The 14524-nt window shown below is 54.9% G+C and overlaps 1 pseudogene; it reads left to right on the top strand.

Annotated features, from left to right (window-relative positions):
- The first annotated feature begins 10594 nt into the window (after positions 1-10594).
- Positions 10595-14194, top strand: LOC100996703 (uncharacterized protein C2orf27A-like; annotated as a pseudogene).
- Positions 14195-14524: the final 330 nt, after the last annotated feature.

Genomic DNA, 14524 nt, shown 5'->3' with positions numbered 1-14524 from the left:
GCCCATGAGGGGAAGGTGATGTACCTGGGGCAGCCGAAAGAAAAAAAATATGCGCCGTGGAGAAGCGGTGCCTGGGCCCCCACGAAAGAAAGTATCTTCCCATCAGCCCTTGCACTGGGCCCCAGGGACCCTGGCGTCCCTGGTTCGACCCCAGGATTCGCCTCGGGCTGCTAGGGGTATCCCAAGGCAGGCAGAAGGCCCATGAGGCGAAGGTGAGGTTTGAGGGAGGAGAAGTGAGGCACCTGTGGGAGAAAAAAAAAAAAAACGCGCCACGGAGAAGGGGGTCCTGGGTCCCCCACAGACAAAAGTGCCTTACCATTAGCCCCTGCGCTTGGCCCCGTGGACCCTGGTGACCCTGGTTCAAACGCAGTGTGTGCCTCGGGCCGCTAGCAGTACCCCAAAGTGAGCAGAAGCCCATGAAGGGAAGGTGAGGCACCTGGAGCGGAGAAAAAAAAAAAAAACCTCGCCACGGAGAAGGGAGGCCTGGGTTCCCCATGAAAGAAAGTGCCTTCCCATCAGACCCTGTGCTGGGCCCCAGGGACACTGGCATCCCTGGTTTGAGCCCAGGGTGCGCCTTGGGCAGCTGGGGGTACCCCAAGGCGGACAGAAAGCCCATGAGGGGAAGGTGAGGTACCTGTGGCAGAAAAAAAAAAAGGCGCCGCAGCGAAGCGGGGCCTGGGTCCCCCACTGACGAAAGTGCCTTCCCATCACGCCTTGCGCTGGACCTCTTGGACACTGCGACCCTGGTTCGAGCGCAGGGTGCGAATAGGGCCGGCTAGGGGTACCCCAAAGCGGGCAAAAGGCCCATTAGAGGAAGGTGAGGCACCCGGGCAGAGAAAAAAAAACAAGCCACTGAGAAACGGGGCCTGGGTCCTCCACGAACGAAAGTGTCTTCCCATCAGCGCCTGTGCTGGGCTGCAGGGATCCTGGCGTCCCTGGTTCAGCCACAGGGTGTGCCTCGGGCCGCTAGCGGTACCTCTAGGCGGTCAGAGGGCTCATGAGGGGAAGGTGAGGTTTGAGGGAGGAGAGGTGAGGCACCTGCGGCAGAAAAAAAAAAAAAAGCTCACCTCGGAGAAGTGGGCCCTGGGTTCCCCACGGACAAAAGTCCCTTCCCATCAGCGCTGCGCTGGGCCCCAGGGACACTAGCATCCCTGGCTCCAAACCAGGGTGGGCCTCGGGCCCGCTAGGGGTACCCAAAGGCGGGCAGAAAGCCCATGAAGGGAAGGTGAGGCACCTGGGGAAGAGAAAAAAAAAAAAAACCTGCAGAGGAGCAGAGCTTGGGTCCCCCACAGACGAAAGTGTCTTCCCATAAGCCCCTGAGCTGGGCCTGTGGACCCTGGCATCCCTGGTTAGAGCCCAGGGTGCGCCTCGGCCTGCTAGGGGTACCCCAAGGCGGGCAGAAGGCCCATGAGGGGAAGGTGAGACACCTGGAGCACAGAAAAAAATTAAAAACCGCTCCGCCTAGAAGCGGGGCCTGGGTACCCCACGGAAGAAAGTGCCTTCCGATGAGCCCCTGCGCTGGGCCCTGGGGACACTGGCGTCCCTGGTTTGAACCCAGGGTGCACCTCGGGACTGCTAGGGTATCCCAACGTAGGCAGAAGGCCCCTGAGGGGAAGGTGAGGCACCTGGGGCAGAGAAAAAAAACCGCGCCGCCGAGAAGCGGGCCCTGGGTCCCCCACGGACGAAAGTGTCTTCCCATCAGCCCCTGCACTGGGCCCCAGGGACCCTGGCATCCCTGGTTCGAGCCCAGGGTGCGCTCGGGTCGCTAGGGGTACTCCAACGCAGGCAGAAAGCCCAGGAGTGGAAGGTGAGGTTTGAGGGAGGAAAGGTGAGGCACCTGGGGCAGAGGAAAAAAAAAAAACCGAACCACGGAGTAGCGGGGCCTGCGTCCCCTACGGATGAAAGTGTCTTCCCATCAGCCCCTGCGCTGGGCTCCGTCGACCCTGGCGACCCTCGTTCGAGCCCAGGGTGCGCCTTGGGCTCGCTAGGGGTACCCAAAAGCGGGCAGAAGGCCCATGAGGGGAAGGTGAGGCACCTGAGGCAGAAAAAAAAAAAAAAACTGTGCCGCAGAGAAGCGGGGCCTGGTTCCCCCACGGACGAAAGTGTCTTCCCATCAGCCCCTGAGCTGGGCCCAGGGGACCCTGGCATCCCTGGTTCAAGACAAGGGTGCGCTTCGGGCCTCTTGGGGTACCCCATGGCGGGCAGAAAGCCTATGAGGGGAAGGTGAGGTTTGAGGGAGGAGAGGTAAGGCACCTGAGGCAGAAAAGAAAAAAATAAAACCGCGCCACAGAGAAGCAGGGCCTGGGCACCCCACGGACGAAAGTGCCTTCTCATCAGCCCCTGCACTGGGCCCCGGGGACCCTGGCATCCCTGGCTGGAATCCAGGGTGCACCTCTGGCCTGCTAGGGGTAACCCAAAGCAGACAGAAGGCCCATGAGGGGAAGGTGAGTCACCTGGGGCAAATAAAAAAAAAAAAACGCGCTGCGGAGAAGCGGGGCCTGGGTCCCCCATGGGTGAAAGTGTCATCCCATCAACCCTTGCGCTGGGCCCCGGGGACCCTGGCGACCCTTATTCGAGCCCAGCTTGTGCCTGGAGCCGCTAGGGGTACCCCAAAGCGGGCAGAAGGCCCATGAGGTGAAGGTGAGGCACCTGGGGCAGAAAAAAAAAAAACGCGCCTCAGAGAAACGGGGCCTGGGTCCCCCACGGAAGAAAGTGTCTCCCCATCAGCCCTTGCGCTGCGCCCCGGGGACCCTGGCATCCCTGGTTCGAGCCCAGGGTATGCCTCGGGCCGCTAGGGGTACCCCAAGGTGGACAGAAGGCCCATGAGGGGAAGGTGAGGCACCTGAGACAGAGAAAAAAAAACTGCGCCGCCGAGAAGTGAGGACTGGGTCCCCCACGGACGAAAGTGTATTCCCATGAACCCTTGCGCTGAGCCCCAGGGACGCTGGCGCCCCTGGTTCGAGTCCAGTGTGTGCCTAGGGCGGCTAGGGGTACCCCAAGTCGGACAGAAGGCCCATGAGGGGAAGTGAGGTTTCAGGGAGTAGAGGTGAGGCACCTGTGGCAGGTGCCCATCTGTAAACTGTTTATCCATGTGAGCCCTGATGTTCACCGGGGGCTGGATGTCCCCCTGGGGCTAGATGTTCGCCTGGAGCCTGGTGTCTACCTGGGGCCTGATATCCAGGAGAGGCTTAGTTATCCATCTATGGCCATCTGGAGCCAGATGCCCACCTGAGGTCTGGTGTACACCTAAGGCCTGATATCTACCTGGGGCTTGAGTGTTCATGTGGGATCTGATGTCTACCTAAGACCGTGTGTTCACCCGGAGCCTGGGTGACCATCTGGGTTATCATGTTCAGCTGGGGCCCAGAGTTCAGCTAGGGACTGGGTCAACCTTCTGCTTGTTGCACACCTGGGGACTAGGTACCCACCTGGGCTCCGGTGTTCACTGGGGCCTGATGTCTGTCTGGGGCCTTGTATTTACCTAGGACCAATGCATCCACCTGAGGTCTGAGTGCTCTCATGGAGCCTGGAGTTTTCCTGGGGCCTGGGGTCTGCCTTAGGCTTAAGTGTACATTTGTGGCCTCATGTCCACCTTGGGATGGATGTCCACCTGGGGATGGATATTCAGTAGGGGCCTGAGTGTCCACCTGGTTTTTGATGTCTACCTGGGGCCTGGTGTTCATCTGAGGTTTGATATCCACCTGGGGCTGGGACATTTGCCTGGAACCTGATGTACAGCTGGTGCCTGAAGTTCATCTATGCCTGGTGTCCCCCTGGGGCCAGGTAGTCAACACAGGGCCTGAAGACCTTCTAGAGTTCAGTGTTCACCTGTGGCCTGAAGTCCACCTAGGGCTTGGGTGTCCAAATAGGGCCTGGTGTCAGCTTGAGATTTGTGTATTTACCTAGGGCCTGGTTGTCCACTGGGGGCTTGATTTTTTACTTGGTTTTTGTGTTAATTTGGGATCTAGTGTCCACCTGGGGCCTAGGTATCCACCTAGGGACTATTGTCCAGCTGGAGACTAATGACTACCTATGGCCTGGTAATCACCTAAGGCTTTGTTCCACTTAGGTACTTGGTGCCAAACTGTTGCCTGCTGTTCAGCTGGGGTATGGTGTCCACCTGGGGTCTGGATGTCAGCCTGGGGCTTGTTGTATACCTGTATCTTAGATATCCAGATAGGGGTCTATTTTCTGCTTAGGTGCAGCAGTCCATCTGGTGCTTGAGTGTCAACCTAAGGCCTGATGTCTATGTTGGACCTTGGGTTCACCTGAGGCCTGATATCCACCTGGGGCCTCAATGTCCAAATGGGGCCTGATGCCCATCTGGGCGCTGGGTGTCCACCTGCAGCATGGATGTCCACTGGTACTTTATGTCCACCAGGGGCCTAATGTCCACCTAAAACCTGGTGTTCACCTGGGGTCTGATGTTCAGCTGAAGACCGGATGTCCACCTGGAGCCGAGGAATCCACCCAGGGACTGGTGTTGAACTGGGGCCTGATGACCACCCGGGGACAAGGTACACACCAGGCTTGTTGTCCACCTGTCACCAGATGTCCACCTGAGTCCTGATGTCCATCTTGATCCTGGGTGTCCACATTAGGCCTGATGTCCACCTGGGGCCTAAGTACCCACTGGGGGCTTCCTGTTAACCTGGGGGCTGGTGTCATTCTGGGGCCTAATGACCACCTGGGTTGTATTATTCACCTAGGGCCTGGTGTCCACTTGGGGCTTGAGTGTAACCTTGGACCTGGCACCCACACAGGACTTGGGTATCAAACTGGCCCCTTGGTGTCCAGTTAAGACATCATGTGAACCTGGCGCCTGAGTGTCCACATGGGGCCAAATGACTACTGGGGGCCTGAATGTCAACCTAGAATCTGAGGTTTACTAGGGGCCTAGGTATCCACCTGGGGCCCAATGTCCACCTGAGCCTGGGTGTCAACCTGGGGCCTGATGTAAACCTCTAGTTCAGTGTCCACCTTGGGCTTGATGTCAACCTGGAGCCTGATGTCCACCTGAGTACTGATGTTCACCTTTGACCTGATGTCCACCTGTGGACTGTTTATCCACCCATGGCCTGATGTTCACCTGGGGCTGAATGTCCAACTGTGACCTGTTGTGCACCTGGAACCTAGGCATCCACCTGCAGCCTGATGTTCAGCTGGGCTGGGACCCGGAGTTCACCTGAGGCATGATGTCCACCTGAAGCTTGATGTTCACCTGGGGGCTGGGTGTCCACTTGGGGCCCAATATCCACCTGGACTAGGTACCCACCTGGGATCTGGTGTTCACTCAAGATTGGTGTTCAGCTGTGGCCTAATGACCACCTGGGTCATGATGTCTACCTTGGACTGGGTGCTTACCTGTAGCCAGTGTTCACTGGGGACCTAGTGTGCACCTGAGACCAGGGGATGTACCTGGGGCCTGGTGTCTACCTGGTGCCTAGGTATCCACTTGAGGCCTAATGTTCATCTGGAATCTGGTATCCACCTGGGGCCTTGTAATTACCTGGGGTCTGGGCATCCACCTAGGGCTTGAGTATCCTCCTGGGGCCTTGAGTTTTACTGGGGACTCGTGTCTGCCTTGGACCTGGGTGTACATCTGTGGCCTAATGTACACCTTGAGAGTGATGTCAACCTGGGGACAGATGTCCTCTTGGGGTCTGAGTGTACACCTGGTGTCTGATGTCTGCCTGAGGACTTGTGTTCACCTGAGACCTGATATTCACCTGGGGACTGGGCGTCCATGAGGGGCTGATGTCCAGCTGGACACTGGATATCCACCTGGGGCTTAAGGATCCACCCAGAAACTGATGTCAAACTGGGGCCTGATGCCTACCTGCGGACTAGGTATCCATGTGAGGCTTGATGTTCATCCGCAGCCAGACGTCCATCTGATGCTTGATGTCCACCTTAGTCCTGGGTGTCTACTGGAGACCTCATGTTCAACTAGAGCTTAGGAACCTACTTGGGGCCTCGTGTAAACCTGGGGACTGGTAAGCAGCTGGGTCCCAATCATCCCCTGGGTCATATTATTCACCTAGGGCCTGGTGTCCATTTGGGGCTTGAATGACAACCTTAGGTCTTGTGTTCATCTTTGACGTAGTGTCCACCTGGGACTTGGTTATCAACCTGAGGACTTGGTGTCCAATTGAGGTGTCATGACCACCTGGGGACTGAATGTCAATCTGGGGTCTGATGTAAACCTCTAGTTCAGTATCCACCTGGGGCCAGATGTCTTCCTAGAGACTTATATTCTCTTTTGACCTGATGTCCACCTGGGGACTTGCTATCCATCCATGGTCTGATATTCACCTGGGGACAGATGTCCAACTGTGGCCAGAAGTGCACCTGGGGTCTGGGCTTCCACCTGGAGCCTGATGTTTAGCTGGGGCTAGAGTTTAAATGGAGAACGATGTCCACCTGAAGTTTGATGTTTACCCGGGGCCTGATACCTGCCTGGTGCCCAAGTATTCTCATGTGCCTAATGTCCACTAGTTGGCCTGGTGTTCATCTGAGGGCTTGGAGTCAACCAGTGGCTTTATGTACACCTGGATTCTAGTGTCCTCCTGGGGCCTTATGCTTACCAGGAGTCTGGTGTACCCCTGGGGTCTAGTATCCACCTGGAGTCTGGGTGTCCACCTGAGCCTAATGTTGAGCTTAGACTGAGTGTCAGCCTGAGGCCTGATGTCTACTTAGGGCATAGGTATTCACCTGGGGCTTGTTGTTTACCTGGGGACTAATGTCAACCTTGAGCCTAAGTATCCACCTGGGGAATAGTGTCCAGTTGCAGCCAGATGTCCACCTATGGCCTGAAGCATGGTTGTTATCCTAAGGTCTTGTATTAGTCCATTTTCACACTGTTATAAAATACTACCTGATATTGGGCAACTTATGAGGAAAAGAGGTTTAACTGACCCACAGTTCTTCAGGCTTAATAGGGAGCATGACTGGGCGGGCCTGGGACACTTACAATCATGATGTAAAGCCAAGAGGAAGCAAGCCCTTTTTACCATGGGGGAGGAGGAGGGAGAGAGAAGGGGGATGTGCTACACACTTTCAAATAACCAGATCTCGTAAGAAGTCTATCACGAGAAGAGCAAGTGGGAAGTCTGCCCCCATGATTCAATCACCTCTCACCACGCCCCTTCTTCAACCCATGGGGATTACAATTCAACATGAGATTTGGGTGGAGACATAGAGCCAATATTAGGCCTGATGCCTGCCTGGAGTCGTGTCTACCTGAGGCCTAAAGTAGACATGACGCCTGGGCATCCACCTAGGACCTCATGTTAAGATAGGGGCTGGAGTTCTTTCGGTGTCCAGGGTATACCTGGGGCCCAGATGTATAACTAGAGCCTGATTTTCAGATGGAAACCTGCGCCCCAAGTGCTCATCAGATCCTAGGTGAAAATTCAGGCTTCAAGTGCACATCAGACTCCAAGTGGACACATAGGCCCCAGGTTGATACCAAGATTTCAGGTAGACTCTGGGTCCCAGAAAAACACCCCACCCTAAGTGGACAGCTGAATCTGAGTAGACATCAGGCCCCAGATCAACATCTGGCCCCAGGTAGATTCCTAGGCCCAAGGTGAATACTCAGTCTCCAGCCCTAGGGGAATTCAGTGTTAGATGACTAAGGACTGGTTTTCCTCTGGGGCCTCATGTCTACCTGGGCCCTGGGAGTGCACAAGGAGCCAGATGTCTATAAAGGGCCTGAGTGTCCACTAGGGCCTGAGGTTCACCAGGAGCATAGACATCCACCTAGGACCTCGTGTCCACCTAAAACCTGGTATTCACTTGGGGCCTGGGTGACAACCTGGGATCTGATGTTCACCTGAGGCCCAGAGTTCAGCTGGTGCCTATGTCAGCCTGGCACCTGATGCACACGGGAGGACTAGGTGCCCACCTGAGGACTGGTGTTCATGGGGAACTGGTGTTCAGCTGTGGCTTGATGACCAACTGGGTCCTGGTGTCCTCCTGGCACCTGATGTCCACCTGGGACTGCATGCTTACCCAGGGCCTGGTGTTCCCCTGGGGCCTGGTGTGCCCCTGAGGCCTGGGGTCCACCTGGGCCTAGTATCCACTTGGGGCCTCATATCCATCTGGAACATCATGTCCACTTGGGGCCTTTTAGTTACCTAGGGACTGGGTGTCCTTCTGGCGCTTGAGTGTCCTCCTGGGGCCTGGGGTTCTCCTGGGGCCTGGGTGTACATCTCTGGCCTGATGTCCACCTTGGGATGGATGTCCATCTGGGAACAGATGTTCACTTGTGGCCTGAGTGTCCATCTTGTGCCTAATGTCTACCTGGGATCTGGTGTTTGCCTGAGGCCTTATATCCACCTGGGGCCTGGGCATCCATTTGAGGCCTGATGTCTACCTAAGACCCGGTGTTTAACTGGGGCACAGACTTCTTCCTGGAGCCCGACGTTCATATTTAGCCTGAAGTTCACCTATGCCTGTTGTCTACCTGTGGCCTATGTGTCAACCTAGGGCCTGATGACCACCCTGAGTTCAGTGTTCACCTGGGGCCTGACATCTGCCTGGAGTCTGGGTGTCCACATAGGGCCTGATGTTGGCTTGGGACCAAAGTATTTACCTAGGGCCTGGGTGTCTACTTAGAGCCTGACTTCTACATGGTTCATTGTGTCAACCTGGGACCTGATGTCCTCTTAGGGCCTAGGTAAGCTCCTTATGACTAAAGTCCACACAGGGGCTGAAACCATCTCAGACCTTGTGTTAATCTAGGGCTTAGTGTCCACCTGAGGCCTGCCTGGGACCTGGAGACCTCCTGGGGTCAATCTATCCACCTTGGGCCTGATGACCAATTGGGGCTTAAGGATCTACTTAGAGACTGGTGTCAACCTGGAACCTGGAACCTGATGTCCACTTGGAGTCTGGTGTACACCTTGGGCCTGATGCCCACCTTGGCACAGGTGTACACTTTGGGCCTAGTGTGCACTGAAGCCTGGGTGTCAACCTGGGTCTTGATGCACACCTTTAGTCAAGTGTTTAGCTGGGGCCTGATGAAATACTGGAGCCTGATTTACACCTGTGTACTGGGTCTCCACCTGGGGCCTGATGTCCTCCTGCAGCCAGATATCCACCTGGCACCAGATGTCTACGAGGAATCTGGGTGTCCATCTTGAAAATGATGTATTCCAAGAGACTAGGCATGCACATTGGGCCTGGGGTCCACCTGGGTCCTGATGTCTACCTGAGGCTGGTATTGAACTGGGGCCTGTGTGTTCACTTGGAGCCTGATGTCCATTTGGAAACTGGTGTTCACCTAGAATATGGGTATCCACCTGGATCCTGATTTTCAGGTGGGGAGTGGATATAGACCTGGGACCTGATGGCCACCTATGCTATAAGTAACCCAACCACCTGAGGCCTGATGTTCACCTGCAGCCTGATGTCCACCTGGTACCTGTGTGTCAATCTAGTGCCTGATGTCCACTTGAGGACTAGGTAGACACCTGGGGCTTTGTGTTCACCAGGGGCCTGGTGTTCATCTTGCACCCAGTGTCCACCTGGACCCTGTGTATCAACCTGTGGCCTAGGTGGTCACTTGGAGCTTTATGTGCACCTGGGGCCTGAGAGTTTCCTAGGATCTGATGACCACTGGGGCCCAGGTATCCACCTGGGACATCAGGCTCCAAGTGTATATCCAGGCTCCATGTGGACACCAGGCCAGGAGAACGCCAGCCCTTATCTGAATATCAGGTCCTAGATGGATGCCCAGGCCCCATGTGTACATCAGTCCCCGGGTATACACTGGACTCCAGGTGGACACCAGCACTCAATTGGATACACACACTCAAGGTGGACACCAGGCCCCACGTGAATTCGTACACTCCAGGTGAACATCAGGTCCCAAGTGGATACCTGGACTCCAGGTGTATACCAGTCTCTAAATTAATACCAGGCCTCAGATGGTCCTTAGGAGCCATGTGGGCATTAGTCATCAGGAAGTTACCTAGGCCCAAAGTGCACATCAGGCCACCTGTTGACACAAGATCTATTTGGAAGTCAGGCCCCAGGTGGACACCCAGGCCCTAGGTAAATACTTAGGTCCCAGGTTGACAGCAGGCCCTGTGTTAACACTCAGAACTCAGGTGGACATCAGGCCTCAGGTGGACATCTGAGTTCATCTGGAACCTCGTGTTACAGGCCCCATGTAAACAACAGGCCTTAGGTGGATACCCAATCTCTAAGTGGACATCAGAGCTCAGATTGACACAAAGACTCCAGTAGACATAATGTACCAATGAATATCCAGGCCTCCGGTAAATACCCAGGCACCAGATTGACATCGGGGTCTATGTGGACACACAGGCCCCGGGTAGTAAACAGGCCCAAGGTGGACACTGGACTAGACATCAGGTCCTAGGTTGACAACCATGCTTCAAGTTGACACCAGGCCCCAAGTGAACATCTGGTCCCAGCTGGACACTAGTCTCCTGGTGAATACCTGGGCTCAAGGTTGACATCAGACCCTATGTGAACACTAGACCCCAGCTAAACACTTATGCCCTAAGTGGACATCAGGCCTCAGGTGGTTACCCAGTCCCAAGGTGAACATAGGACCCTGATGGGCACCAGTTATCAAGTGGATTCCCAGGCCCCAGGTGAATATCAAGTCCTAGGTGGATACCAGGCCCCAAGTGGATACCAGGATCTGGTAGACATCAGGTCCCAAGAGGACACTAGAACCCAGGAGTACATTAGACTCAGTGCTCAGATGAACATTAGGCTTCAGGTGGACATCGTGCCTCAGGTGAACTCCAGGCCCCAGATGAACATCAGGCCCCAGGTGGATGCCCAGGATCCGGGTGCACATCTGGCCACAGTTGGACATTCAACCCCAGGTGACCATCAGGCCATGGGTGAATACACGGTTTCCAGGTAGACATCAGATCAAAGGGGAACATCAGTCCCCCAGTGGACATCAGGCCCAAGGTGGACACTCAACTAGAGGTTTACATCAGGCCACATGTTGACACCTAGTACCAGGTGGACATCAGGCCCCAGCTAGATACCTAGGCTTCCAGTGAATTTCAGAACCCAGGTTGACATTCAGGCCCCCAGTGGTCATCTGGCCTCATGCGAACACTCAGACCCCAGGTGCAAATGATGTCTCAACTGGATACCAAACCCCTAGTTTGATACCCAAGGCCCAGGTGGACACCAGGTCCAAGGCTGACACTCAAGCCCTAAGTGATTACCAAACTCTAGGTGAATAATTCAACCCAGGTGGTCATTAGGACCCAGCTGGATACCAGTCCCCAGGTTAACACAAGGCCCCCAGTGGGCACCTAGGCACCAGCTGGACATGAGGCCCTATGTAAACACCCGGGTCTCAGGTGAACACCATGCCCCAGGTGGACATCAGGCCCTAGGTGGACACGGGGCCACAGGTGGACATCTAGCCGCTGGGCAACATCCAGCCCCAGGTGGACATAACCATTTCCATGGATAAACCATTCCCAGGTGGATAGCAGGCCTCAAGAGGATGGCAGTCACCAGGTAGACATCAGGCCTCAGATAGACACCAAGGTCCCAGATGTACAGCAGGCCCCAACCAAACCCCAGACTCATGTGGACATCAGGTCACAGGTAGACACCAAGCCTTAGGTAGATACCTAACTTCAGGTGGACATCAGACCCCAGGTGGACACCCAGTCCCCGGGTGGACAGTCAGGCCCCAGGCCCACATCAGGTCTTAAGTGGACACCCAGGCCCCAGGTTGATATCCAGCTCCCAGGTGATCACCAAGCCCCAGGTAGACACCAGGCCATAGGTGAGCAACAGGATGCAGTAGGTCATCAGGCCACAGCTGGATACCAGTCCCTGGTGAACACAAGGCCCCAGTGGGACAGAGATCTAAGGCAGACATCAGGCCCCAGGTGGACATACAGGCCTGAGGTGGAATTCACCCTGAGGGGGACATTCGGCCCCAGGTAAGCATCAGGCCTCAGGTGAATAACCAGTCCCCAGCCGGACATTAGCCCACAGGTCAACCACAGTACCCAGGTTGATGTCTGGTCCCCAGGTGGCTACCCAATCTGCAGGGTAACATTAGGCCCCTGTAGGTTCCCAGGCCCCAAGTGGATTCCTAGGCCTCTGGTGAACATCAGGTGCAGGTGTCCAAGCAGGCCCTGGGTGGACATAACTGTGTACAGGTAAGGAGTTGACCTGTGTGGAAGGTGAGCAGTCAGCAGCCCACTGGGGTCCTGAGTAGGTCTTCAGGAAGGAGGAGGCCAAGGGGACAGAACCTTAAAGAAGCGACCTCACTTCCTTGGCAACAGACCCTAACGGAACTTAGAATTCTGGAAACCAGGCCAGGCACGGTGGCTCACACCTGTAATCCCAGCACTTTGGGAGGCTGAGGCAGGAGGATCATGAAATCAGGAGATCGAGACCAGCCTGACCAACATGGTAAAAGCACATGTCTACTAAAAATACAAAAAACAAACAAGGTCAGGAGATCGAGACCATACTGGCTAACACAGTGAAACCCCATCTCTACTAAAAATACAAAAATTAGCCGGGCATAGTGGCAGGTGCCTGTAGTCCCAGCTACTCGGTAGGCTGAGGCAGAAGAATGGCATGAACACAGGACGCGGAGCTTGAAGTGAGCCAACATCGCGCCACTGCACTCCATCCAGCCTGGGAGACAGAGCGAGGCTCTGTCTCAAAAAAAAAAAAAAAAAAAAAAAACAACTAGCCAGGTGTGGTGGTGCATGTCTTGTGCCTGTAATCCCAGCTACTCAGGAGACTGAGGCAGGAGAATTGATTGAACCTGGTAGGCGGATGTTGCAGTGAGCTGAGATCATGAAACTGCACTCCAGCCTGGCCAACAGAATGAGACTATGTCTCAAAAAAAAAAAAAAGAATCCCGATAACCAGGCACCCACATCCTAGAGTTAGCCCCATAGCCAGCTCACTTGGTGGGAGATGCTCAAGACAGCAAGATGTTCTTGTGCTGCATCCCCACATCTCAAGGCTCCTGCTTCAGGAATGGCAGGAGTGAGAATCTTTCTTTTCTGACAATGCCCTTGTAGGCTCATCCCTCACCCCAGATGCCTCTGGCCATTTAGCAGAAGGTGCCCCCAAGTACCACAGGACAGGAGTCACCAGGTAGACATCAGGCCCCAGATGGAGCTACCAGGCCAGGCCTCACCAGTGATCCCACCAGGGCCACATCCGCACATTGTCCTTGTCCAGCTGGAGCCTCTGGAGCTCATTGAGACACAGGCACATGCTGAGGTCACCTGCAGTCTGGAAGTCTTTCCAGGGACAATGTTTTCAGGCTGAAATTCCTTTAAATTCAGTGAGGTTGTTTTCATGTTTGGAAATTCCAGTGGAAAGTGAGTGATATTGGTGACCTCTCTCCTTTTTCAATTCCTGCTTCAGGTGCAGAAATACAGCTATTTCCAGTGCCAGCTGTTGAGCCAGTGCTAGCACCAGGGTCAAAGCCCCCTCCAGGGACAGCGCTGGAGCTAGAGGAGGCTCCAGAGCCCTCCTACCATTGCCCTGGGACTGCCCAGGACCAGCCCAGTGAGAAGCTGCCTGACTTCATGGCACCTCCTGTACAGCCACCGGCCTCAGCCCTGGAGCTGAAAGTGTGGCTGGAGCTAGAGGTGGCAGAGAGGGGGTGACCAGCACAGCTCCAGCCAGCAGCTCCCACACTGCTCCCAGTCCTGGGCACAGTGGAAGCTATGGAGGCAGAGACCAGGGTGTGCAACCTGGGCTCCTCTGCCTCACTGGAGAGGGACTTCTCTCATTCAGCAGAGCAGCAGCACTGCTGCTGAAGAGCCTGCTGCTACTGCTGCTGGGGGTGTTTGCCTGCCTACAGGAGGTGCTGGAGAGCAAGAAAAGGAGCCTGTGAGCAGGGGTTCCAGCAGGTCCTCCTGCTCCCAGAGGCGACCTCCTCCTCCAGGCATGGAGGTTTGCCCTCAGCTAGGCATCTGGGCCATTTGCCTCTAATGTTCTGCCCAGGATGGCCTCTTCTTGACAGGCAGACAGGGGTTGAGGGGGCCAGGGGGCATCTCCAAAGGAAGATTTAAACTCAGCATCTGCACCCCAGAATCTCCATGCCTGCACCTGCCCAAGGATTTATTCATAGCTTAACTAAGAATCTCAAATTTCTACCATAACACTGAAATAAAGTTTGACTTTTTGAAACTTCCATGACTTCTTTCACTCCCTAATATTGTAGATGATGTTTTTAAGGTGACATTGAAAACCTCTGATAGTTGTGTGTTTTGTTATGGCTCTTTGTGTGATTAAATTACGATCTGATCAAGTGATATTGAAAACCCTTCAGGTATGGCTTTTAGAAGAATTTGACCTATTTTTGCTTGTGTTGACTCTCCCTCCAGCTTTGTGGAAAGAGGGATCATGTAGCTTCATTTCTCAGGCAGATCAGTCACCTTTTGCTATCAAAGTTTTAGCATCCATTTCGAAAATTTGGTGTACAAGTTGATATTTTGGTGTTTTTAGCTAATCTGGAGTCAAA

This window comes from Homo sapiens (genome assembly GCF_000001405.40).
Source record: "Homo sapiens chromosome 14 unlocalized genomic scaffold, GRCh38.p14 Primary Assembly HSCHR14_CTG4_UNLOCALIZED".
Classification (NCBI taxonomy): Eukaryota; Metazoa; Chordata; class Mammalia; order Primates; family Hominidae; genus Homo; species Homo sapiens.
Note: the sequence above shows the minus strand (reverse complement) of the source record. Positions and strands in the feature narration are given on the sequence as shown.